At 46.8% G+C, this 27042-nt stretch overlaps 4 annotated features.

Annotated features, from left to right (window-relative positions):
• Positions 15899-17247: an enhancer, noted in NCBI's record as "VISTA enhancer hs2060". NCBI's record gives its function as "enhancer in: somite[3/9]" and the evidence as "EXISTENCE:transgenic organism evidence [ECO:0001131][PMID:17130149]".
• Positions 15899-17296: a biological region, named in NCBI's record as "VISTA enhancer hs2060".
• Positions 16068-17267: an enhancer, noted in NCBI's record as "BRD4-independent group 4 enhancer chr6:4358562-4359761 (GRCh37/hg19 assembly coordinates)". NCBI's record gives its function as "activates an origin of replication core promoter dependent on BRD2, P300/CBP, MED14 and CDK7 cofactors, and independent of BRD4, by STARR-seq in HCT116 cells {active_cell/tissue: HCT116}" and the evidence as "EXISTENCE:reporter gene assay evidence [ECO:0000049][PMID:35650434]".
• Positions 16545-17296: an enhancer, noted in NCBI's record as "H3K27ac-H3K4me1 hESC enhancer chr6:4358533-4359284 (GRCh37/hg19 assembly coordinates)". NCBI's record gives its function as "activates a minimal SCP1, AML or CMV promoter by ChIP-STARR-seq in primed H9 embryonic stem cells {active_cell/tissue: H9 hESC(primed)}" and the evidence as "EXISTENCE:reporter gene assay evidence [ECO:0000049][PMID:30033119]".

Below are 27042 nucleotides of genomic sequence, written 5' to 3'. Positions count from 1 at the left end.
GCCACCCAGCAAGAGTGGACTGATTGCTGGTTATGAATATCATCACTGCTGCAGGAGATGGGCCATCGTGGGGCTCTGAGCAGGGGATATCACTATTAAATCTGTGTTCCAAAAGTCTGTGGTCTGGCAGTACATTGGAGAATGGATTGGGGCAAGGGTGCTGGGACTCAACACAGAGAGATCCTTACAGAAAGTTATATTACAGCCTTCTCAATGGAAAAGGGAAGGACCTATGGCAGTGGGTGGCTGGGACAAAGAAGAGCAGGGATTCTAAGGAGACCCAGCAGGACATGAGGACCCTGTGGTTGTTGGGGAGCCTCAGAGGGGAAAGGGGGGATGCTGGCATCCTGCCTCAGGTGAGAAAGGTTTAGATGTTTCAGAAAAGAAGAGCGTCTGTTGGGGGGGGGGGTTGAGCCATAATCCCCAATTAAGGCTTTACCAGGTTTATTCCTTAATCCAGTCAACACCTAATATTAGGTCCACAAGTCCACCCTTGTCAACTTGGCACCCATACGTATCTCCCGAAACTACACCTAATTTCCAAATAAGGACATCAACAAGGTAATAGTTTTGCAACTATCCTGCACAAAACAGAAAACTCAACTAACCACGTCTCCAGAATTCGGCTTTCAGGATTTCAACATTCAGAATTGTAATCCTTCGGGATTGTGATTTTTGGAATTTTATTTAGACTTTAGAGATTTTGCTCTGTGGGGATTTTGATCTTTCAAGATTTTAATATTAGGGATTGTGTCTTTCGGGATATGGCTGGCACTGCTATAATGATGATAAGGTTTGTGAAACTGCTTGATGCAAGTGGTCAGAGAGGACACCCACAGGTAGAGCCAGGAGAGGGGGTTGCAGATATAGACTTAGGAATGGCCAGGCTGTGTAGTACTTAAAGATAAGGAGGTGAATGAGGTCGCCAAGAATGAGGATGAAGAATGAGACGAGAAGAGCAAGGACGGAACCCGGCAGAATGCAGGGAAGAACCTGGTGAGTTAGAAGGCTTCGGAGGCATCAGTGGAGCCCTCTGCTTGTCCCTGTAATTGTGTGAGCACCTGAGGCCACAGGGCCCGGCTGGCCATGTTCACGGCAGCCAGGCAGCCCGAGGACAAACACACAGTGACACTGGCAGGCTCTTGCTAGGGCAGCTCCTCAGGTGGTCTAACGAGTACAGGAGCCTGGTCAGAGCTCATAGAATGGGGCTCGGTTCAGCATCCCAGAGCACAACAGCTGCTGTGAAACAGAATCCCTCACCATGAGCCATCTGCAGTGCATTCCCCGAACAAAGCCCAAAGAAAATCTGCAGGGAAGTTGGGAGGATGCTAAATTAAGTAGGTGGCAGACATTATTTGATGACACTTCATCTAAGTGACAGGTTAACATACAGCCGAGGTGGGATGAGCAGGTGGCCGATGGAAAATTCAGGGCAGGGAACTGGGTTTCTATCTTAGAGAGAGCAGGGGTTGAGGAGTGCACCCAAATCCATCCATGGGGCTACTGACTGCGTGGAGGGGAACTGCCTCCCACTTTGGTGATCCCAGGGCCCCAAATGTGGCACTGGGGGTTTACTGGGTGTGCAGTAAGTATTCACAGAATTGGACTGAATGGATACTGCAGGCAAAAATAAAATTCTTCTTGCTTCAGTTCCCTGAGACTTGTCATGTGGAAGGTACTCTTTTTTTGTTTTTGCGTGAGGTATTTGAGTGAACATTGCTTCAGTTCTCTGAATTATTCCTCTTGTTAGTGCCACATTTTGGACTTGCTTTTTTACTTAATAAAAGGAGTTCATTGAAGGAAAACCTCTGAAAGTGTAGTGACGGGGCTGATCAGAGCCCTTGTCAAGGTCCATTTCCCTGGAGGGCGAGGAAGAAATGCTGGGTAAGTGTTGCATTTCTCATGCTGGCTGGAGTGCCTCTGGAGGGGTGACTGACAGCTGCTCCTGGTTTCCCAGCAGCATGAGCAGGGCCCATCCAGATGCAGGGGCCACCTTTCCATCAACAGTGTCCCTTGGCCTTGCCTTCTCAGGCTTTCTGGAGGAACTTCTTGTCGTTTAATCTCCACGCGGGACTCTCACCCTACAGCCCCATGTTGCTCCCCTTCCCTGCGTGCCTTCAGAAGGAAAAACAATTGGGCGTGAATTTCTAGATACACAACCACTTACAGTTCATCTGCAGGAGAAGATTTTGCTTTACAAAATCTAACATTGCATGTTAAATGCAAGCAGTGTTGTGAATACACGAGTTTCTTCATTTGTTTGCTCATTAGAAAGAAATACCTTACATGGATCGGGGTCTGTCTTCAAATACTTGAGGAGTTATCATAGAAAACATCATCCTCCTACCACCTTACTTTTGGGTTAGAGTTGGCTTATTTTTTATTTTGTGGGTTCCTACTTTACCCTCACTGTGTGCAGTCCCAGTGGGATTGCTAGGGAAGGTGCCTCCCCTCCCGAAGCCAAGGGGCAGCATAGAAGCTGAGTCAACCACACAGGACAGAACCTGGTTGGCCCTGTCCCATGGGGCCTGAGGGCCTGTGTTGTGGCTTTGAGTGTTGAGATCCTCAGAGCACCAAGTTTCCCAAGGGGTCAGCTTTCAGAGCTATGATAGTTCTGTGATGTCTCCTCAGGCGGAGGAGGAATCAAACTTTTCTGTGAGGTTCCAGAAAGACTAACTAGGACCAATGAGCTCTACACTGCTGGAAGGCTAATTCTGATTTGGAATTGGGGGACGGTGAGGAGATGCACACATCAGAGAGGTCTGAAAGTGGACCAAACAGCCTTGAGAAGTAATGAGATCCCCATACTGCACTTGTTCAAGCAGGCACAGATGCGGTGGAAGGGATTTGCCCTTTGGGAAAAGGGCAAGCTTGAACTAAGTGCTGTCAACACCCTTTTTCTGAGATGAGAGTACCTTTCTACATGTTCTTTGCTGATTCTCTCTACACCTGTGCATGGCCCAAGTGCAAGCTTACCACTGCCACACCTTCCCCATCTGTTAACAGATGCACCTTTGACCTGCCAGCATGTAGTAATAATGTGATTTAACATTTATTAGGGGTCACTTATGCCCTCAATTGCTAGTAGGCACTATTTTAAGTGCTTGACATCTTCTAAATAATTTAATCTTCATAACTACCTATGAGATTCATATTACCAGTATTCCCATTAGTTAGATGGGAAAATTAAGTCACAGAGAAGGTAGGTAAATGCCTGAGATTACACAGCTAGTTAAGTGTCAAAGAGAAGATTTGAACCCAGGCAGGGTCATGCCCTTAATCTCAAAACTGGGCAGCAGATGTTGTGATGGTACACTTAGTGCCTGTAAGGACAGGTCCTGTTTATTTCTAGGCGTGACATTACATAACAAAGATAATATCCAAGCCCATTTCATACACGAGGGCATCAGAATCTTACTTCGCTGAGCTAGGTATCACACACGATAAACTCTAGATGGAGAACTCTTGATTAGTATGATAATCCTTGCCTAAAGATGAGGACATTGGCAGGGGTGGGGTGAGTAAGGTTAGGGACGTGGTGGGCTGGAGACTGCTCAGACCAGCTCCTGAGCTGTTATTGCGCACATCTCCCCCAGATTCTGTGTCCAGTGACCTCCTGTTTGTACCTTGAAATAGGCCACAGGAAAAGTGTTTACACGGAGAAAATTGGCAAATGCCATAAATAGTTATGCTATGGAAAAAGAGATTTTTCTCAACTTGTGGCAGATCAGGCTACAATATAGACACAATAATTGTGCCGTGTCTTGATCTGAGCATGGGCCATTTAAGGTAAAAGGCTGCCTCCTCCGACTTCTTGAAGCATTCTCTTTCTTCCTCTCCCCACGAGAGTCACTCTTCCTATCAGGGGACTGGTGGCTCACTGCCCGGTTAAGGCACACACACAGGGCCAGCATCTAGCTTATCTCAGCAAGCCTTGGAGGAGGTGCTCTCCAGAGATGGATCTTTTTATAGCCACAAAGAGCCACGTAGTGCAATGGAGCTCGTCACTTGGCCATGACTCAGGAGCTTTGGGCTCCAATTCTGGAACTCCTGCTAATGTGCTGGGTGACCTTGGACAAGCCAACAACTCACAGTGGGGTCAGTTTCCTCTCCATCAAAGCAGAGACATCAACACCCACTAAATATGTCAGAGAGCTTAGAGAACAGGGCATGGTACATCAGGCAGTCTGCTTATGTGACAGTCAACTATCAGAGTCCAACTCGGTGGGTTTACCCGATGGGGATCTGGAGGTCTCTTGGTGTCTCCATCCTGCCTGGGGAGAGGAGGTGGACGGGACATGCAGGAAGGGAAGGGGATGAGGCGGGATCTATAAGGAAGAGGGTGGAGGAGTGACACAGGCTGATGGTTAACTGTAGGTGTCAACTTGGCTGGGCTAAGGGATACTCAGATTGCTGGGAAAGCATTATTCCTGGGTGTGCCTGTGAGGGTGTTTTCAGAAGAGATTGGCCTTGGGGTCAGTGGATTGAGTAAAGGAGGTAACCCTTCCCTCTGTGGGCAGGCATCACCCAATCCATTGAGGACCAAGATAAAACAAAAAGGTAAGAGAAGGATAATTTCACTCCCTCTGCTTGAGCTGGGACACCCACCTTTTCCTGCCTTCAGACACTGGTGCTCCTGGTTCTTAGGCCTTCAGCCTCAGACTAGGAGTTACATCATCAGCTCTCCTTGTTCTCAGGTCTTGGGACTCAGACTGAATTAGTTTCCTTGATTCTCTGGCTTGCAGTTGGCAGATCGTGGGACTTCTGGGCCTCCATAATCATGTGAGCCAATTCCCATAATAAATTCCCTCTTCTGGCCAGGCACGGTGGCTCACGCCTGTAATGCCAGCACTTTGGGAGGCCAAGGGGGACAGACCACCTGAGGTCAGGAGTTCGAGAGCAGCCTGGCCAACATGGTGAAACCCCACCTCTACTAAAAACACACACAAAAAAGCCGGGTGTGGTGGCACACACTTGTAGTTTCAGCTACTCGGGAGGCTGAGGCAGGAGAATCGCTTGAACCTGTGAGGTGGAGGTTGCAGCGAGCCGAGGTCACGCCACTGCACTCCAGCATGGGTGATAAAGCAAGACTCCATCTCAAAATATAAATAAATAAATAAATAAATAAATAAATTCCCTCTTCTATCACCTATCATTTATCTATCACCTATTGGTTTTCTCTGGAGAATCCTGACTAACAAACACACCGCTGTAAAAGACTGATGACTCAAGTACCTAGAATTTAAGCTGGTGGGGCTAGCTCTGACTACTCAATCCCTCTATGACTAATTTGCTTCCCTGGACTCCCAAACCAAAGAAAATGATCTGCTAGCTTGAGACCTCCAGTGCACAAATGCACCACAAGGTCGAGAGCCTGCTTGGGCTCCATCCATCTCCCCTCTGCCTGCTCTGTTACAGACAGAACTGCATTTCCCAGCATCTGCATAAGTGAAGCCAATTAGAACAACAAGCAAGCGATTAGAGGGTGGGAGAAGGGACACCCAGAATATTCCCTTTTTCCTTCTGGTTCTCATGGCATTTCTGCAGCAGCCACATCATTTTTGTGCAGCAGCCTCCAGCGAACTTCCAGACCCGGGCAATTCCACCTCCCCCTATTGTTTTCCCAGTCTAGGGGTGGTAGCAACTTCCTCTGCTGCTAACCCGTCCCTCTGTGCTTCCCAGCTCACCCATCCCTCTGTCACCAATCCCTTCAATCAGATTCCTTCCGTTAGAAAGACCTAGAGCAGTTTCTATTTCCTGGCAGAACTGACTGGCAAAGGACCAGTGGGAAAGAGTGTAGAGGAGGAGTCCTGGCAAACTCACTGCTTCCTCTTACAGGTTTCAGCTCTTGCACAGTGTCCTGCACACAGCAGGAACCCAGTGAATACTTAGCAAATGAGCCAGGCCTATGTTAAGGTTTCTAACTCACATGAGGTTCAATAAATGTGGATTTCCTGCCTCTGGACTCTCCACAACCAGATCGTCTCTACTTATTCCCCTCTTCATGTGATGAAATAAAGAAAAAAGCCCAGGGGGTGCAAGTCTTCAGGCGGATGTCCTCTTGCTTTTCAAATTTCAGCCTAGGCCAAATTTATCTCCCTGGCAGTATCACTTGGGTCATGTAGGCAGCACACGGGCATTTCATGCCACAACCCAGAAAAGGCTGAGGTGGGCACATGGGGGTCCATGAGAGCCAGGGAGCCTGGAGGAAAAGGCTGAATGACTTCTCCCAGGGCACTTTTTCAAAGCTCTTCTCCTCCTCCTCTTCTTGTTAATGGTCTCCCGTCCTGGCAGACTGAGAGGCTGTCCATGGACTCTGTCAGTGGACTCCCTTTGCCGCTGGCTTCCAGCTGGGTGTGGTCAGTGGGGATGTCTGGCAGGAGATTGGAGTGAAGGGGGATGAATGAAGTTGGGGCAGTGCTGGGCTAGAGCCTGCTCATAGTGGCTCACGAGAGTTGACTGTGCACATCTATTGTCAATTCTGCATCTGGTGACCTCACATAGGTAGCTTGAAATAAGCCATGGGGATGGTATTTAATACACAGAAAATGGGTAAATGCTACAAATATTTTTTTCTCCAGAGGGCCAATGATTAAACACTGTCCAGCATACCATGGTGGTGGGATATTCATTCTGCTGGCTTCTTCCTTGTGGGGTAGCTTCATGCCAACCTTAACCAAAGGCCATTGTTCCTCTCAAAATAGTCACCTCTATTGCTTTCTCTCCTTCTGGGCACTGCAGTATTTCTTGTGGTTTACCAACTCACCCCCAGCTTTGCAGGTAGCACCTTTATTGGACAATCCTCCATTGTCTTACTTAGAGTGGGCCATTTATTCCCTGCAGGAACCATGGCTGGTACAGTGGGGAAAGAGAGGAGTCATAGCCACTGGTCAGTTTATACCTGGGTGTAGGGTAGGATGGCCACTCATGCCCCTAAGTGTGATTGTTCTAGAAACTAGGTCTAATGCTTCCAGAGGGCCAAAAGAAGTCAGTAGCCTGGAATGACATTCAAATTCTGTTTTTAAAACAACTTTTTCTCAATGTCTTTGCCTGCTAGTCTTCCTATCCTCACAACTCTTTTAATACCAGAATGTGGAAAAAAAAAATCTCTTCAAAAAGATGACTTTGGAAACCCTCACATTCCACTGCAAATCCTGGGGAAGTGTCCTCACATTATGGGGTCAACAGTGTCTTGTTCTGGCAGCTGGTTCAGAGTGTGGAAGTCTCAGATCAGTGGCTCCCAGCCCACACTGCATATTACCATCACCTGGAAGCTATAGAAAACCTGATCGTGGGACCCCTAGCTCAATTAAATCCACTCTGACAGACACTTAAGTGTGTGAACTTGAGAAATAACCTCTCTAAGCCACTTTGCTCATCAGAAAGATGGAAAAAATCAGACCTATTTTACAGGACTGCCTGAAGGATTACATGAGTAGTGAACAGTGATTTGCATTAGCATGCTCATTCATCATTCTCCCACCCCTCTCACTTCAGCAGCCCCTGAGGACCAAGAGGGTCACTGCGAGGCATAGAGACTAATGAGAGGGGTCTGTGGGCCAGCACATGAGCTTCACCTGAGAGCTTTCTAGAAACATAGACCCTCCAGCCTCATCACAAACCCACAGATTCACAAACTCTGGGGCTAGCACCCAGCAGCTGGTGTTTTAACTTACCTTCCAGATGATTCTGATGCATGCTGAGCCTGAGACCCAGTGGTCTAGACGTCTCTCCCTTTATCTGCTGTTGACTTCTGGAAAGGCTAGCTGCACTGTTCTGCCTGCTTTGGCCCAGATTAGTTACTTTGGTGGACTGGACTCTCTCACCCCCCTGGGCACTTCAGGACCATTCTTACCATGCAGTTCAAGACCACCTCTCCTCCCAGCACCTTCAACCAGCTCTGCAAGGGTTATTTGACTTGCCTGAGCATGGAAATACAGGGTTAATTGCTCATGAAACTAGGGATGGGGGAAACACAGAGATAGAGTCTCCTCTTCCAAGATACCCAGGGCCATTATTTTGGGAAATTACTTTGCTGTTTTACTGTAAAATGGCTACTGTGTTTAAAATTATGACTACTGTTGACTGTCTTTCCTCATCAGATGAAGACTCTTGGGATAAAGCTATCTACCCTGGGAAATAGAGGCACGGAAGGTGTTTTTCCTCCCTAAAATTCCGTGGGTAGACGTGTGAGTGTGGTTGTCGGGGTGCACGCTTGTGTGTTTGGATGGGGTGGGCACGTAGTGGGATTTGAGGAGAAAGAAAAAGGGAAAGACTGTCTCTTTGTAATATGTACATTCCCCTACCTCACGGTTCTGTGAAAAGGTCTGATTTGGAAGTTTGGGACCAAGAGGGTTAGAGCCAGAATGTGTTGCTATGGAGATTTTCCAGCCTAGGATGCTGGATTTCATCTGTGTGCTCATTTTTCAAGCTTTGGAGGGAAAGATCTCTCCTTGCTGCTACCCATTGTCCCTGCAGACAATTCCCCACCAGAGAAAGGCTCTCCTTGCCTTGGCGGCTGCTAGACAGGACATGCTATTGTGCTTTCACGAACCCCAACAGGAGAATTAACCTCCTGTTTGGTTAGGTGCAGGCATTCAGCAAGTGTGAATGTTGGCTCTGAAGAGAAACTGATAGAGTCCCGATAGGAATCCAGCCTCCTTGGCTGGCTGGCAGGCTCTCATCTTTATAAAACGCCTCCTGTTTTCCCTGAGCTATGTTCACCATCCGTCACTGTGAATTTGACTGATGAACCCACAAGTACTCGAAAAGGATTCCAGGATTTGGAGGCCCATCCCTTACACAGTGGATGCAAATTAGCTAACACTCTCACTTACTAAACATGAAATCAACCCCTTGGCCTCTCTTCATTTCATGGCCTCTCCTATGGGCAAATTTGGCAGCAGTAACTACAGGGCATCCGAGTGAATGAGCTGCTCCACAAAATGAGTGCCTGAGAGTGCAGAAGTTTCTCTCTGCTGGGAAACCTGGCTTATCTCAGTGGTTGCCAATAGCTGAGTCATAAGCCATCTTTGATTGGTACATTTTAAGCTACAATCTGAGAGAAGGGGATGATGTCCAGGTGGAATTTGCAAATGGTCCTACAGCGGCAGAACAGATGATGGAGACTCATTACCTGACAAGAAGTGCTCTGCATTTCAAGAGTAGATAAAAAATATTGCAGCCGCATTTTCATGCTGTATAAGACTCACATCACAGCACAAGTGGGAAACAGACCAACCCGCTACAAATTTATCATTCAGGTCTTGACACGCCAATTCACCTTTCAAATCTGTATCCATGAAGATTCTTCATGCAGCATTACTTTCTCTAAATGTTTTTACATCTTAAACACGTAAATCTTCACACAGACCTCTGCATTGTTCATCATATCATTAGGCTGATGATGATGATTATGGGGTAAATTAAGGACAATAATCATAAACCACATCGAGATATTTACAAATCACTGTGGTGAAACTGCTTTATAGCTCTGAATAAAATCCTTGTCAAACTCTAATTAAATGTGTTTTAAAAAGTCATGTTCTGATACAGAGCAAGGTTTTTGGAACAGCAGTTAACCGAAAGCCCTTGGTGTCAGAGAAGAGGCTGTTAGGCTGCTTGTTGCTATGGACACTGTCAAAGGCAAACTTTGGTTCCTCCAAGGGCCTTACTAGTTTGGTCAGAGGCAAGAGGCCAAGGGGAATGATTTTCTCCACTAAGTTACAACTAAAAAGATACAGACGAGGATGTATTGGGCGTGGAGGAACCTTCCTCTGATGGATGAAGACAGCTGAGATGGATTTCACCCTGGGTGGAGAAGCCTGATGAGACTAAGGTCCTTCTTTCACTGCATTTATAGGAAAAGCTGCAGCCTTGTTGAGTGACAAAGATCCCAAACACCATGGGGGAAGGGGCCAGATGAGGCCAATCTGGTTTACCTATTAGGGCAGTTCAAATTGGCAGTTATCAAAATGGTAGTGAGGCCTCCAGATACTCGAAACCATGAATTTGGATTATATATTGAGATAAGCTACCTAATTATGTTCTCATACATATTTATGAATAGGAATAAGATAAAAACAAAACATATTACCTTTCTTACTAACCTCTCACTGTATCTAGTTACACTTGCTGTAGGTATTAATTTTTTGCTCTATACGTGAATCTTTTATAATACAGTGTTCTTTAGAAAAACTTGACTGTAGAAAGAAAGATGAGAACTTTAGTATGTGTTTTTTGTTGACCCTATGTTCATCCCCTTCACTGCCTTTGTGCACTCATGCCCCCTTCGCATTCTCCCTTCACTCTGTCCCGTGGGCGCTGTGAGTTTAGTTACTAATTGTCCTTGGCTCATAGGTGACCCCTCAGTGGGGAGGCTATGTCCCCACCCACAGGCGCCATCAGCCCACACCCATGGCTGCCTGACTGATGGGCAGGGGGTATGGAAGGGTAGCACCCTTTCCTAAATGGAAGACAAGACTGGGGTGAGGTTTGTGCTCCAGAGCCCCCCACTAGGGGTAAGAGTAACATCCCTACTCAGCTCCTTTCCTTCTCTATCCTGCATCCCTCACTGGCTTATAGTTCTTCCTGGAGAGAGCACACCTGCAATAAGCACTGTGCACAAAATCCCTGTCTGAGGCTCTGCTTCCAGGGACCCTGACCTGAGGCAATAACCACAGGGCAAACCAAATGTTCCCCAGGCTCAAAAGAAGGCAAATTGCAGGGCCATATACCTATCACAGAAAATACATGACCTTTGAGCCTTAACTTTGCAATCAGAGTCCTATAAAATGACAGCACTGTGTCATTTACATTTCAAAAACCTGAAATATTAGGTCACCAATTAAAAAAAAGAGGAAAGGAGTAAAATGTGATCATTGCCTGAAAATTTTAAAAATAAACCATTTTTACATGGCACAGCAATAGACCGTTTGAATGCTTAGTAGTTAAAACTAGATCATGTTTTGGGGTGACATATTTAGCTACTTCTTCTGTTTTGTGGACGCTGATATAAATACCACTTAGAATTCATTCTGGTTTTTTGAAATGATTGAGACCCAATTTAGGTCATAATGTTAGTGCATTACAGACAAATTATCATATTTACTATGCAAAAGCTGAGATCTAAAAACTTATGACCACAGAAAAAGCCTGGAGATACCATTCTCATAATTGCCCATTTGCAAAACAGGAAGTGGGGTGGTTAGTTTTATGTGTCAACTTGACTGGGATAAGGGATGTGCAGGTAGCTGGTAAAATATTACTTCTGGTGAGAGTGTTTTCAGATGAGATTAACATTTGAATCAGTAGACTGAGTAAAGAAGATCATCTTCACCAGTGTAGGTAGGCTACTTCCAATCCACTGAGGGACTGAATAGAACAAAAAGACAGAGGAAGGGTGAATTCATTCTCTCTGCTTGAGCTGGGACATTCATCGTCTCCTGCCCTCAGACATTAGCACTCCTGGTTCTCAGGCTTTTGGACTCAAACTGAATTACAGCCCTGACTTTCTGCTTGCAGATGGTAGATGTGGAACTTCTTGACCTCCATAATTGCACGAGCAAATTCCCATAGCAAATCTCATACACACGCGTGCACACACAAATGCACACACATATCCTATCGGCTCTGTTTCTCTGGAGAGCCCTGACTAATGCCGGGAATTAGTTATTTAGTGATTCAGATTGGGAAATCCATGTAGCTTTTTGATGAAATTGGCCATGGTGTGAGATCACCAAATCTGGTCACACAGCATGTCCCATGCACTCTGGAGCAGGCACAGAGCAGTTGGTGAACATTCGGCCCCAGCACTTGCTGGCTTTGTGACCTTGGTCAATTACTTAATCACAAAGCTTCAGGCTTTTCATCTGTAAAACAGGCACAGCAGTGCCTATCTCATTGGGTAATTTAGGGTGTAATGTAACAATGTCCAAAAAGCACTCAGTTCCTTGCTTGGCTGAGTAGAAAATCTCAACAAACCGTACGTACGGCTCTGAAAGAAGGGCTAGACTCCTGATTTTTGAAACTTCAAGTGGATGTTTATATAAAACACCTTAAAAGTTAAAATGTAACTAACAAAGATTACAACTGAATATAAACTGTGTTATTTCAAACTCTTCTGATCTTTGTCTATGTACATTCTTTTATATCGGACACAGATGTACTAGTGGCATGTAAAATGCCATACACATGGCATTTTACATTCTGCTTTTTTTCAGTTGGTGTTATTTTGCATACACAGATCTATGCTTGGCATAGTCTATATATGTCATTTTTATATTTCAGCTATGAATCCAACACGTAAGTATCATAGAAGTTGGAGGCAGAACTGAAGCATTACATTAACATTTGCCTCCAAAAAGCCCCAGGGCTCCAGGATGCACAAAATCATTAGGCCAAAGCTGTTAGCAAGTCATTCAGTATCTCCATCGGTCAGTGCAGCTTGGTCTTGCAGAAGTCTGCACACTGGTTCCCCTAAGGAGGCCCCACGTTCTCCTCTGTTTGCCACTCCCCTTGCTGGGGCCACTTAATTCCTGACTCTTTTCGGACCAGGTTTCTCAACCTCTGCATCATTGACGTTTGGGCAACACCAGTCTTTGTTCTGGGTGCCGTCCTGTGCAGTGTATGGTGTTCAGCTGCATGCCCGACCTCCACCCAGTCAATGCCAGGACCACCTAACCCCAAGTCATGACAACCAAAAACGTCTGCAGACATTGCCAAATGTCCCCTGGGGGGCTGAATCGCCCTTGGTTGAGGACCACTGTGAGGATCTTTCACCATCATGGATTCTGGGCTCTGATGGTTTCCTCACTACAGTCCCAGAACGTCCTGGCTTTACTTCTGCATCATTGTAAGAGCTGTACTAGCTCTTTCCCAGGAAGTCCAGTTGCCTTTATAGAAATCAAGCTATATGATTGATGTCTAACATAGGGCATGATGTCTGGGGGCCAAAGACAGCAGGAAGATTTCTGCTTCACATAATTACCAGCAGGATGAGAAAGGCAATTGATAAAATGGAAAGTCCCTTTACGTTTCCAAGTCTGAGTTCCTCATCTGAGAAATGGAAGTAGGAATGGGAAGCTTGCCTAACTCAGGGCTGTCATGATGGTCAGCATGTTAAATAATTGACTCATTTGTTCCTTCAACATTTATCAAGAGAATGACATGCCAGGCACGGTGTTTGGTGCGTGAGATACAGAGAAGTATTAGACAAAGGGTCCGACCTCAGAGTAGAGACAGACACAAACACCTCTCTAACACAGTGGTTTCATTGGTGAATGTGTGGATCAACAAAATGTGGTGTGTGCAGACAGCGGAATATCACTCAGCCTTAAACAGGAGGGAAATTCCGACGCATGCTACAACACAGATGAATCTTGAGGACATGATGCTGAGTGAAATAAGCCAGTCACAAAAGGACAAACACTGTGTGATTCTACCTATACAAGCTACCTACAGGAGTGAAATTCATAGAAACAGAAAGTGAAATGGTGGTTGCCAGGGCCTGGGGGAGAGAGTGGGAGTTACTCCTCAATGATGTTAGAGACTGAACTGTGCCCCCCGAAATGCATATGTTGAAACCCTAATCCCCAGTGTGCCTGTATTTGAAGACTGGGCCTTAGGGAGGTAATTAGAGTTAAATGAAGGCCAAGCCCCAGTCCAATGGGACTGGTGTCTCTGTAAGAAAAGGAAGAGATGCCAGAGCCCCCTCTCTCAATAAGCACACAGAAGAAAGGCCATGTGAGGACACGGGGAGAAGCTGGCCAGCCACAGCCAGGAGGAGAGGTCTCACCAGACGCCAACCCTGCCAACGCCTGGATCTTGCACTTCCAGCCTCCAGACTGTAAGAAAATAAATGTCCGTTGTTTAAGCCACGCAGTCTGGTACTTTGCCATGGAAGCCCAAGCAAACTGATACAAATGGGTAGAGAGCTTCAGTTTGGGAAGATGAAAAATGTCTGGAGATGGGTGGTGGTGGTCGCACAACAATGTGAACATGCTTAATGCCACTGAACTGTACACTTAAAAATGGTTACAATGGCAAATTTTATGTTTGGTATATTCTATCCCAATAAGAAAGCCACACACCCACAGAGGCCATCAGAGAGATATGCACAGGACATTACGAGCCCTGAGAAGGGGGCCTGGCACAGCTGGGGAGGAGCATGGCAGGGGGGTTGGGGGTGGAAGAAAGAGCAGAGCAGATAGGGAAGCCACATAGGCTGAAGGACAGGCAAAGCCGAGATACGGAGGGTGAGAGGAGGGAGATGTGTGTGTTGAGAGCCACAGGCAGTTTGAAGTTCCGGGAGCTTGCAGTGGGAGGTGGGATGGGGAGGCGGCAAAGAGGTGAGAGCTGGCCTGCACAGCGAGGAGATGGGGGCCATGAACACCCCGGGAAGGAGACTGGAATTCCAGCCACCACTGAAGGCTGTTGGGCAGGGCAGCACCATGGTCAGTCACCTACACTGAGGCGATGTATGTGAAAGCCCTTTGCAGGCTGTAAACTCCTGCAGAAATGTAAAGTTCCATCACCGTGGTTATTGCTAGTGATGATGGCTGCAAGTGGCATAGAGCATCTGGTGGAACAATGGAACCTAGGGTTGCAGGGAGTATTATCTTGACTGCAGGGCCCCTCAAGGCAAGTTCAGGAAGCTTGGACAGCTCCTCAGAAGACGGCCTGTCCTGCAGATGCAGGTAAGAAACAAGGGGCCATAAATATGGACCAAAGATTGTTGAGAGCCACTAGGAGACACCTGGAATATAGTCACAAATCCAGACCCACAAATTCCGCCCAACAGAGACTTGGTTACTTAACAGAGCTGGCAGTGCAGGGTGGCCTATTGATGAGGCGGCTCCATTTCAAGAAAGCTCTGCAAGAATCTACACAGAAAAGAAAGCCTGGGACTCTGTTGAGGGAGCAGTCACAAATGTGAGACCTGAGGAGGAAGGAGGGAAGAAGGGTGTTGTTTTGACTATGGGAACTCATGCAGAAAGCAGTTAGACATTTTAAAGACTAGAAATGTGCTATGCACTGATATTTATTCAGAAATGGTGGGCTGAATATTTCCTATACTCATTATGGGAGCAGTTCTGCCCTGCGATGGTGTAAGCCCCGACTTGTACAACAAGGCTGGAGTATTGGAAGGTAACCCTGACTTTAGGTGCGAGATTTGTGACTTACATTTTGCATGTAATTCAAATATTTGTAGATTGAATCTTATCTCTTCATTGACATACATTAGAATCTCACAGCTGTAGTCAATTTGTTTCTGATTGACTTTTCCCTTCAAGGGCGTTGTTAGAGCCTTCCCTGCAACCCTTGCTTCTCTTGGTAGCCCTCAGAACACACGCACATGCGTGTGTACACACACGGAGCCCCGCGAGGCTGAAGGCTTTTAAAGAAAGCCCTTGACAAATCCTTCTAGATCATGAGCAATCATTTCCTAGCATTTCAGTTTTGAAGGTTCGGACTTTTCAATTTGGTCACAACTGAAATATGTTAAGCTCTGAAATAAAATATCATGAAGGCATTTCACACTTTTCATCTAAAACTCCAAAGCTAAAACTCAACAAATATTTATTTGGCATCTATTATACTTATCACTATGTGGAAAATATTTTGTTTATTTTCACTCTACCTGTCACTAAAGAATATTTATGGTGACTTTACAAAGAAGTATAAGACCAGACTTTCTGTTGGGAACAGCATCTTTCCCCCTTTGACTCCCTAGTGTCTGGCACAAGCTGTGGAACATAATAGACTCTCCACAAAAATTCTTTCAAAAAATGAATGAAAACACACAATCAATTCAATTAGGGAATCAGTATACACACACATAATAAAATAACTTTAAATATAAACATACATGGATATAATGGATGCTAAAGAAGTCATAAAAAAGTAAGAGGCGGTGAGAGCAAAAGAGGCGGGGCCAGCACTGATTGAGTCCTTACCTTGTGCCCAGCACTCAGACACTAAGTTCCATTTCCCTCATGAACCTCTGATCATTTGTAGCAGAAGAAGAAATCTAAGGGCCAGGAGGTTTTGTGTCTTGCACAAGATCACACTGCAAGTCAGAGAAGGATCTGGAATTTGAGCTCAGATTTGTAAGTCTCATCGTCCCTGTTTTCTACCCTGGCTCTGCCATGAAGTGCCACCAAAGGCTTTGAGAATGGAAGGAGGCCACTGTGGGGCTGGCTGTCTGGGAAGGCTCAGGGAAAGGAGGGATGTGAGCCGCACTTTGAGCCTGGGACTTGGGAAGAGCAGGGAGGGAGAGGGCCGGCTGGCTGGAGGAGGCAGCTGGCCAGGAGAGCAGTGGAGGATTGTCCTGGGAAAGAAGAACCAAACTGTGACAGCCTCGAGAGGCTTCCTCTCCAGGGCCAGAGCTGTTCCCAGGACATGATGGCTGGGCCACCAAATTGTAGACCCTTAAATGCCAGGCTAAGAACTGAAACTTCATCCTGTAGCAACAAGAGACCGTGAAGATTCAAGCCTGATTAACTGCAAAGTCATCTTAAGGGGAGACCGGAAAATTAAAGAATACACAGAGAGGGCGTGGAAAAGCTGAAGCTCCCTTTGCTAAGGAAAGCTGAGATCTGAAACACAAGCCTGCTCCTGCCCTTCTCTCTCCCCCACCGCAGCCTGCCACCTTTCCCAGCCCTTTATGCGCCTCCCTCGCATGACACACATAATCTAGTGACCTTGGTGACTAAGGCACAGAACTGGAGAGAATGCGTCACGCCCACTCATTCCTGCCAATGGCAAAGGGCTGCCCAGTTCAGACGTTCCCGGCAGGCAGCCACAGCATCCTCTCGCTCTGCATCCAGGGTGACTCAGCATTTGCAGAGACATGAATGTGATGCAAAGTGACTCAACCTCCCCCTCCCACAGGACTATCCCAAGCTGTGGGCTCTGTCCCAGGACCAACAGGACAGGTGCCAAGAGGGCAGGCCTTCGCCAGGCCCTGCACTTGAAGAGGCTGGGGAGGCCAGCCTGGCTGTAGGCTCCCCTCAGCCGGCCAGGTGTGCCCATCCCTGAACTCTCCTGCCATTGGCCTGTGCCAGAGCTGGGACCCCATCCAGATGAAGCCCTGATTTGGACATGAGGAAAAGGATCTCATTTTTAGTAACAGCACTGCAGATAACATGACGGTGTAGCCATGTGGATTCAGACTTAGAGATGGTCACAGGTGAGCAGCAGTCAGCCAGAGCCTAAGATGCTGGGGGTGGTTTTTGGAGCACACCTCAAAAAAGTAAATATTCTTTTTTATTATTATTATACTTTAAGTTTTAGGGTACATGTGCACAATGTGCAGGTTAGTTACCTATGTATACATGTGCCATGTTGGTGTGCTGCACCCATTAACTCGTCATTTAGCATTAGGTATATCTCCTAATGCTATCCCTCCCCCCTCCCCCCACCCCACAACAGGCCCCAGAGTGTGATGTTCCCCTTCCTGTGTCCATGTGTTCTCATGGTTCAATTCCCACCCATGAGTGAGAACATGCGGTGTTTGGTTTTTTGTCCTTGCGATAGTTTACTGAGAATGATGATTTCCAATTTCATCCATGTCCCTACAAAGGATATGAACTCATCATTTTTTATGGCTGCATAGTATTCCATGGTGTATATGTGCCACATTACATTCTAAGGAGATACAAAGTATGTATTGATGTGCTGACTTTTCATCTTAAAACCTCAATACTTCATATGTGAAATTCACCTCTCTGATCTGGGGCATCTAAACCATGACAAATAAAATCTCTCACCCCAAGGGCCTCTCCACCTCTCCCACGCCCTCCTTCTCACTAAACCAGTTCTTCAACTCCAGGCTCACTCCTCACAGATGCTTTCATTCTGACACAACACTCCTGGCTTTCCTTCCTCCCTCCCTCCCTTCCTTTCTTCCTTCCTTCCATCATTCCTTCCTTCCTTCCTTCCGCATCTGGGTTCTTTGGCCCTTTCAACACAACACTGCAACTTCCCTCCCTCCCTGGTCCAGCTGTGCTCGCCCAGTTGACCTCCAACCCTGCCATCTGCCTTTCTCACATTTGCTCCCATGCAGCAAGTGGGGTGGAAGAAAACCATGAACTAATTGCTGGCACTGGAGGTTTATTGCTTCTGGTCACAACTGTCCCTAGTCTGGCAATCCTCTTTTATGTCCCTAGCCAGACCCGTTTCTAACACTCTATGGTGCTGATTACAGACCTGTAATGCTCCCAGAGTTGGGGGCATCCTGAGGTGGGGGTGGTGGCCAGCATGCTGATGTTTACAGGTGCCTCCATAGCTGAGCCCAGCACTTTGGTGTTGGCAGTACCTGACACACCACAGAGTGATTCCCAACAGGAACTGAGCACAACAGTGGATGAAGACAGGGCTGCCGGGCACGTAACAGGCTCCCCATGGGGACTTGCCAGCTCCACTGAAAGCATCTGAAGTTCCTGGGTGTCCCCCATCAAGTAGAAGTAGAACAAAGGAAGTACTGTTTCGTTTCTATCCTTGGGAAACTGCTCTTATTCCCTAGATATGCGGCCAGGAAACTCAGAAGACAGTTTAAATACAGTGCTCTCCATAAACTTGAAAAAAGAAAAATGACCTCTTTCTTTCTGGGAAAAAAAAATATCCCTTTTTCCATTTAACATGTTTTTAAGAGGAACAAACTAATGATCTCATCTCTAAGTTGAAAGTCAGAGGGTGATTGGCCATCTCTATAAACTTAACGTCTTTAATGGAGGGAAAATATTTGCAAACTTGCATCTGACAAAGGTCTAATATCCAGAATCTATCAGGAATTTAAACAAATTTATAAGCAGAAAACACACCCCATTAAAAAGTGGGCAAAGCATATGAACAGACACTTTTCAAAAGAAGACATATTTGCAGCCAACAAACATGAAAAATGCTCAACATCACTAAGCATTAGAGAAATGCAAACTGCAACCACAATGAGATACCATCTCACACCAGTCAGAAATTGTATTATTAAAAAGTAAAAAAATAATAGATGCTAGCGAGGTTGTGGAGAAAAGGGGATGCTTATACACTGCTGGTGGGAGTGTAAATTAATTCAACCATTGTGAAAAGCAGTGTGGCGATTCCTCAAATAACTTAAAATAGAATTACCATTCAACCCAGTCATCCCATTACTGGATATATACCCAAAGGAATATAAATCTTTCTACCATAAAGACACATGCACAAGTATGTTCATCGAAGCACTATTCACAAAAGCAAAGACATGGAATGAACATAAATGCCCATCAATGGTAGACTGGATTTAAAAAATGTGATACACACACACACACACACACACACACACACACACACACACACAATGGAATACTATGCAGCCATAAAAAAGAATGACATCATGTCCTTTGCAGCAACATGGATGGAGCTGGAGGCCATTATCCTAAGCAAACTAACACAAGAGCAGAAAGCCAAATACCACATGTTCTCACTTAAAAATGGAAGCTAAATGTTGAGTACAAGTGGACACAAAGTAGGAAACAACAGACAGGGGGCCATATCTGTTGTTGGAGGAGGGAGAGGATTGAAAAACTACCTATCAGGTACTATGCTTATTACCTGGGTGACAAAATAACGTGTACACCAAGCCCCTTTGACACACAGTTTACCTATATAATAAAACTGCACATGTACCTTTGAATCTAAAATAAAAGTTTAAAAAAATGCAACAGCAATAAATAAATAAGGAAACATGTCTTTGAGTGAACACTGGTAAGGTATGCAAAAAACCAACAATTGATGTTTTTCTATTTAATAAAGCAGTAAAGTTTCCATAACTGAAATATAAAATATGACTACCCTCCAGAACGTTACACGGCTCCACAGTAACAAACTCAAGGGCAAAGTTTGGGTTCCCAAGGGTGGTGTTTAAAGGCCTTGAAAACCTAGGGCTAAGCTGCTTCACTGCCCATGGCTGGCCATGCCCCTAAGCCTCTCACTTTCCACACATTCTGGGAAGACTGTGATTTCCTGGCCTTTCTGCACTTGTAAAGCCCTCCTCTCCTCTTCTTGGACATCCTCCCCCTACATTCTGTTGTCAACTGGCAAACACCTACTCAGCCTGCAAGAGCCAGTTCAATTACTAATCCTCTCCAGAGCGTTCCTGAGGATTTCAAGATAAAGTTAGTCACCCTCTTTCCTGTGCCGTCAGAACCCCCGGGTCCCCAGACTCTGTAGCTCTTATCCTATTGTATAAGACCTATTGATTCATGCCTGTCCCTCCCATCAGGCCACATGAGTGCACGACAGGGGTTGTGTCCTGCTCATCTTTGTGTCATCATTCCCCCTGCAAAGCCCATCACTATGCCTGGTATGTTATCGTGAGTTGATAAATTCATCTTTTGAAAAAACAATTTCTTTTTATATCTCTGAATTTCTTGCTCATCATAGCTTTCATATCAAGAGGAATAGCAATTGGAAAATAACCATCCTCAAACAGTATTGATATAGTGCCCTTGCACATGAAACTATACAAAGAGTTGAAGGTCTAAAATAAATTTTGAGGCTGGGCACAGTGACTCATACCTGTAATCCCAGCACTCTGTGAGGCTGAGGTGGGCAAATCACTTAAGGTCAGGAGCTCAAGACCAGCCTGACCAACATGGTGAAACACCGTCTCTACTAAAAATACAAAAATGAGTGGGATGTGGTGACGTTCACCCAGCTACTTGGGAGGCTGAGGCAGGAGAATCGCTTGAACTCAGTGGAGGTTGCAATGAGCAAGATCATGCCACTGCACTCTAGCCTGGGTGACAGAGTGAGACTCCATCTCAAAAAAATAAATAAAAATAAAAAATAAAATTTGGACAATTATGTAACTACCAATGGCCAACCAGTATATCCTGGATTTCTATGATGTCCCTAGAAATGGATGAAAACACAGAAAATATAATCCCTGACATAGGGAGCTTACAGTCTGGTCAGGGAGGCAAGACCTACGTGGAATAAAACCATGGTATTTTGAAGCTGGAGGGGTGTCATTAGAGAAAATAAAACAGCAACCACCAAACAAGCAAGCAGTCAGTTGGTTCTGATGTCACAGGTGCCACTCCAGTGCTGTTCCACACAGGTCCCTCCTGCAGGTAGCTGCTCTGCCTGCCAAGGCTGCTGCAGGCCTGGGAGGGAGCCCCCACCAGGAACACTGGGAGATCAACCGGGAGATCTTAGGGATTCCAAGCTGGACTCGTGTCCATATTGGAGAGAATGCCCCCGCTTTGGGTTACACTCTGGTGGAGAGGCACCCCCTAGCATGTCGCAAAGTTTGATGAACGTTTTTGTCACATCCTCTGACTTCAGAACCCAAACAGGAGTCCAGGGAGCTGGGCCAACGCTGGCTTCAAACACAAGATGGCATACTACGCTCTGATCCCTGCCTCTCTCTAGCAAAGCCTATTCCCGAGTCAAGATCCTCAGGCCATCTCTTGTTTTTTTTATGCTGAGTGCTTTCCAGGGAACATCTTCCTTCTCCCTTGTCAGTTTAGGTGCTCTGAAAAGCAGATGCTAGGACTAGAGTAGACATGCCAGAGGTTTATTGGAGGAGACATTTGGTGACAAAGGGGAGGGAGCATAGGAAGGCAGGGAGGACCCTCAGACTGAAGTGCGGGTCTGACCCCTGTGAGGGCAGAGAGGGAAGAAGGATGGTCAGGAGGAGCCTCAGATGTCACAGAAGCCCTGAGAGTCCCAGTTGGGCCACTGGGAGTCCCTGGGCCAAAGCTGCCAGGAAGAGGAATCCTCCAGAGTCCTGGCTTTGGCACCCTCTCTGGGTAGCCTGGGGAGGTGGGACCTGGCTTGGCCGCCATGATGGATCCAAGGCTTAGCAGCTGGAGGCTGTAGTCAGCAGTGTTCTCCACAGAAGCTTCTCTTGCAGAGAGATTTGAGCAAGGCATTTCCATGGCTGCCACACCCTCGCAGGTAGGATTTTGTTGGAGAGCTGGAGAGCTTACTGAGCTGTGTCTGTGGGCCTTGTCCTGGCACCCTATTCTGTTCCCCCTGCCGTTGTAATGAAAAGCAGGAAAGAAGTGATTAAACTGCAAACACTGTGGAGCAGGTATGAAGTTCAGATTGTTCACAAGCCTCAGGTGTGCAAAAATAAATTTAGCTATTTCTCAGGCAATTAAGTAATTTCTCTTTCAGTTCAAGGCTTCTCTGTCAGTTTGGGGTTACTTTACTTTAATGAATTCAAGTGTTCCTGATCCTGGCTCCCTGTGGGGTTGCACACACATTCCAGGTCTCACCTGCTGTCATGACAGTGGAGGAGGATGGCGCCTGGTCACCACTCTGCCCTGGCTTCACTGGAGGTGTTTGCAGACCAGGGGCCTGGGGTGCTGGCCTCTGTCACCACCGCCTCTCCTGCTGCTGCCCACGGTGTCTCTCAGGTCTGTGGCTCACACAACCTACCTCATGGCCACTACTGGTATTTTTCAGCTGTGAACCCTAGTCCATTTCTGGTCTGAATTCCTTCTCTCTCCACTTGCAAGTTGACTTCGGCATCATGGCTGGTGTATAGTCTGCATCAGGAAGAGCTGTGCAGCTTAGACTGGCTCCCTTCAGCTAGGGTATTTCCAGAAGAGAGCTGTCCACTGAAGACTGTCCACTGGTGACATCTGCTGCAGCTAGGGGAAGAAACACTTCATTCCTGAAATGGGAGCTGGGAGGGAAAGCTTCAGCACGAGGGCACCTGTGGGCAGACGTCTCAAGAGCGTTGACATTATGGTCCTCGTCACATCCCGTGAAGATACAAATGGAATTTACAGTGATGTGAATTTAGACCTACAGTCCCACTCCTCTCTCTCAAGGGACAGTTCATGCATCTGAGGACTATGTGTCCAATGGGAGAACCTTCTCAGCCTTTCCTGTCTGCCTTTGTGTTCTCTTCCATCTCCTCACTCCCCATGGGCATTTCCACCGTAGACTGTCAGGGAAATCAAAAGCAGGGAAATGCAAACCAGTCCATAGCCAGCTCTGGCCAAAGCCTCACCTGGATGGGACATGGCAGTGGCAGCCTTGGCTCAATGGGTTTGGAGGAATTTCCAATGGCTTTCACTCCCGCAGCTGTCACATGGACAGTCGCAGTGTCTTCTCAGGGCGTCTTCCCAGCATGGCCACTACAGAATTGTAAAAAGCCTCTGGAAGCCCATGACTGCACCTCTGCGATCTCTCTCCCACCCTGCCCATAAACAGCCCAAAGGAGAATCCTCACATTCAGACAACATAAAATGTGCTTGAGTGGACACAGATTTCTCACTAATTCTCCGTGAAATCCATGTCACACTGCCACCTACTTCTTTCTCTATTACAGTAACACAGGAATGAGTCATAGTCTGGACGATCTTCTAGAACCCCCCGAGAGCTGCAAGAGCTGGGAAACAAGCCCAGGCAGCGCTGCCAGGCCTCTCGATATAACGCTGCTTTTGTGCCAGACCCACTGGGGGCTGTGCCTCTGCGACATTTCAGCTCTAGAAATGCTCCCTCTCCATTTCCAGCCGCCATCGCACACACGCAGATGCCTGAAATTCCCATGGCTAGTGACTCACGCCTCCTGGCTCGGCAGCAAGAGTCCTGAGCTCACTTCACTTTTGTTGAAAATGAAGAAGCCACTGGGAGGGGTGTTGCTTTAAGTCAGAGAGTGTCAGAGCTGGACGGGATCTTAACTGCAACCCTGTTCTGGGTGCTCGTCCAGCTGGGCACTGCCATCACAGCCCAGCCCGGGGAAGCCACAGGAGAAGCAGGGCTTTTTGGACTCTGCAGAGCAAAGTGTTCCTTACACTGGAATGTAGTATAAAGCAACACTTTTATAAACAAACAAGGATATGATGTGATGCAGAATGCTGAATCTGGGTGAATTCGTAAAATAGAGCGTGATATGTTGGCCACTACTGGACGGTTACTAGTTCCTGCACTCATTTACAGTGGCTGTGTGGCTGCTCTGTTGGGAAGTTTGGGAAAGCGCTGCTTAGACAACAGCAAGCTACCGTGTGACCCAACAATCCCACTTCTGGGTATACACCCCAAAGAATCAAACACGGGATCTGGAAGAGATATTTACACCCCCGTGTTAATGGCAGCATTATTCCCAACAGCCAAATGGTGGAAGAAATCCAAGTGTCTCTTAGTGATGAATGGATAAACAGAATGTGGTCATCTACACAATGAAATATTATTGAGCCTTGAAAAGGAAGGAAATTCTGACACACTGCAACATGGAGGAACATTATGCTCAGTGAAATCAGCCAGACACAAAAGGACAGATACTGTGTGATTCCACGTACATGCAGTACTAGAGTAGTCAAAATCATAACAACGGAAAGTAGCATGAGAAGGGCCAGGAGCTGCTGGGGAAGGAGGGGAAATGGGGAGTTGGTGTTTCATGCGGACAGAGTTTTCGTTTGGGGAGATGAAAAAGTCCTGAAGATGGATGTTGGTGATGGGTGCATAACATCCATCTAGTGGATACTGTGGCATCCAATACCACTTACTATTGTATGTCTTGTATCTTCCCCATGCACAAACTCCACCTCCTTCTCTGGACAGCTCCTGAGGGTTGGGTGATGCCTCATTCACTCTTACAGTGTAATTTTCCTAATGCCACTAAACTGTACCCCTAAAAATGACTAAAATGGCAAATGTTGTGTTACGTTAAAAGGGGAGGGCTGCATGTGAGAACACTAGTGAATTGCCAGATCACCTCATCCCACCCCTCCCTGTCCATTTCCAGGTGTTGGAAGCTGAGTTCAGAGAGCTGCTGTCATTTCCTGGGGTGCACGGCTGGTTAGTGCTGGAGCTGAGCCCAGGCTTCCTGACCTCTACGTCAGTGTTCTTTCCTTAAAAAAACCCATTGTTTATCATTTTTTTCCATGCTGATTGGAGAGATGGCAGTCAGATGAGGCAGATGTGGCTATGTCACTTGTGGCCACTCCTCTTTTCCAGTCCCGCTGCCACCACCCTTGTCCAGGTGTGCACAGCCTGAATTACAGCAGTAACCCTAATTTGCCTCCCTGACTCTAGTCAAATGCGTTTTGCTCACACTGCTGAGGGACAGACTAAGCATTTCACCCCCTGCCTCCCAAATGTCCATGGTTTCCCATTTTCAAGAAGAGGAACAGCAAAAGTTTTAGACTTAAATGTGACACAATTAATTGGTAATGGGCATGTGTCCTCCAAGAAGCAGATACTGAAATAAAATTCAAAGTGCAAGAGATTCTAGGGGATAGCCACCTGTGAAGCCTAAGGAGGTGGGAGCAGGAGAAGCTGAGAGGGAAGGAGCATTGGACAGGAAGAGCCCCAGATCTCATGGCAGTCCTGAGCGAGTCCTAGGCAGACAGATGGCAAGTCCTTGAGCCAAAGCTGCCCATAAAGGGAATCACCCAGAGGGCAAGAATGGCCCACTTCTAGCACCACTGCCAGGCTCAGTGTTGGCCGGAGGCAGCTGGCAGAAGTGCGGCCAGGTGCGAACACCCTGATGGATCCAGAGGTGCAGCTTCCCGGAGGTTTCAATCAGCTGTGATCTCTGCAAAAGGTTTGCTTGCAGGCAGGCACCTCTGTGGCTACTGCAAGATACTTGGTCCTTTTGCTTTTATATACTGAGGAACATCTGGATTCTGAGGCCATAGTCAGGCCACGAAGAAGGGCCACAATGGATCACTGGTGTTTCTTGGCTTTGTGTAGGAGGTGGTTAGGTACAGGGATAGGATAGTTGTGGCGCATCAACAGTGCATTTGGCATCCCTTCTCTTACACTGTTAGATAGAGTCAAATTCCATAGTCTGGTGTTCAAGGTTATTCATAACCTGTCTCTCTGGCCATTGAATGCTATGGAGTTCTCAAGGCAAAAACCGCCTCCTCCTTAAATCCTTCCCCTTGTCCTCTGCCTTTGCTCTAAGCCCCCACAGCCCTCTGAGCCTTACTTATGGCACCTACTATTGTATATCTTGTATCTTCCCCATGCATAAGCTTTATCTCCTTGTCTGGACAACTCCCCGGGGTTGGCGTGATGCCTCATTCACTCTTGCAGTGTGGTTTTCCTAATGGCATTGACGTACAGTCCGGTCGAGTTAAATTAACTTTCTCCTCTCAATGGACTCATCACATGGGAACATTGAATTCAATACCAACACGGGGGCTGACGCCTGGGCCTCCTCCCTCCAAGAACGTAGAGGGTTTGATCATGTGTTCCTGCTACCATGCAGTAAAAGGTGAGGCTTTCCTTTACCGCCGCATGTCGACCTGTCCTTCCACTCAAATAGAAGATATCCACAGCAAAGAGCCCTGTGTTTCTCTAAGAACAGACCTCGGCAGAGGCATTTTATAACATCACAATATAAGGACCAGCACCTTATTTTTAAAAAATACTTTTTAGGCCGGGCATGGTGGCTCACGCCTGTAATCCCAGCACTTTGGGAGGTCGAGGCAGGCGGATCATGAGGTCAGGAGATCGAGACCACCCTGGCTAACATGGTGAAACTCTGTCTCCACTAAAAATACAAAAAAATTAGCCAGGCACGGTGGTGCATGCCTATAGTCCCAGCTACTCGGGAGAGGCTGAGGCAGGAGAATGGCATGAACTTGGGAGGCGGAGCTTGCAGTGAGCTGAGATCGTGCCACTGCACTCCAGCCTGGGTGACAGAGCGAGGCTCCGTATCAAAAAACGAAAAACAAAACAAAAACAACTTTGTAAAGCCCTAACAATATATAAACGGTAGCTATTCAATATCTCTTCAGGAATAAAGCAAGCAAGGAATGCCAAAATTGGAGGCTGTGGTGGGGAAGGCGGCTGGCAAGACTCAGAACAAAATGTGCTGCTCTACTGTTTTGGCCTGAGCCAGCTTTGGCCCCATGATGGATCCCAGGCCACTGAGTTTGAAAGTAACGTTCGGCTAATTCCATCTCGTCTTCGACAGATCACTTCCTCCTCTGCTGAGATTTCTCACAGCACTTCATCTCTCTCTGCTCTCTGGTCAACCCCAGTATCAGTCATCACCACGAAATACATCACTCTGAAGTGAAAGTGTGCTGG

Source organism: Homo sapiens, chromosome 6 (genome assembly GCF_000001405.40).
Source record: "Homo sapiens chromosome 6, GRCh38.p14 Primary Assembly".
Lineage (NCBI taxonomy): Eukaryota > Metazoa > Chordata > Mammalia > Primates > Hominidae > Homo > Homo sapiens.
The sequence above is the reverse complement of the archived record's forward strand: the minus strand, read 5'-3'. Positions and strand labels throughout refer to the sequence as shown.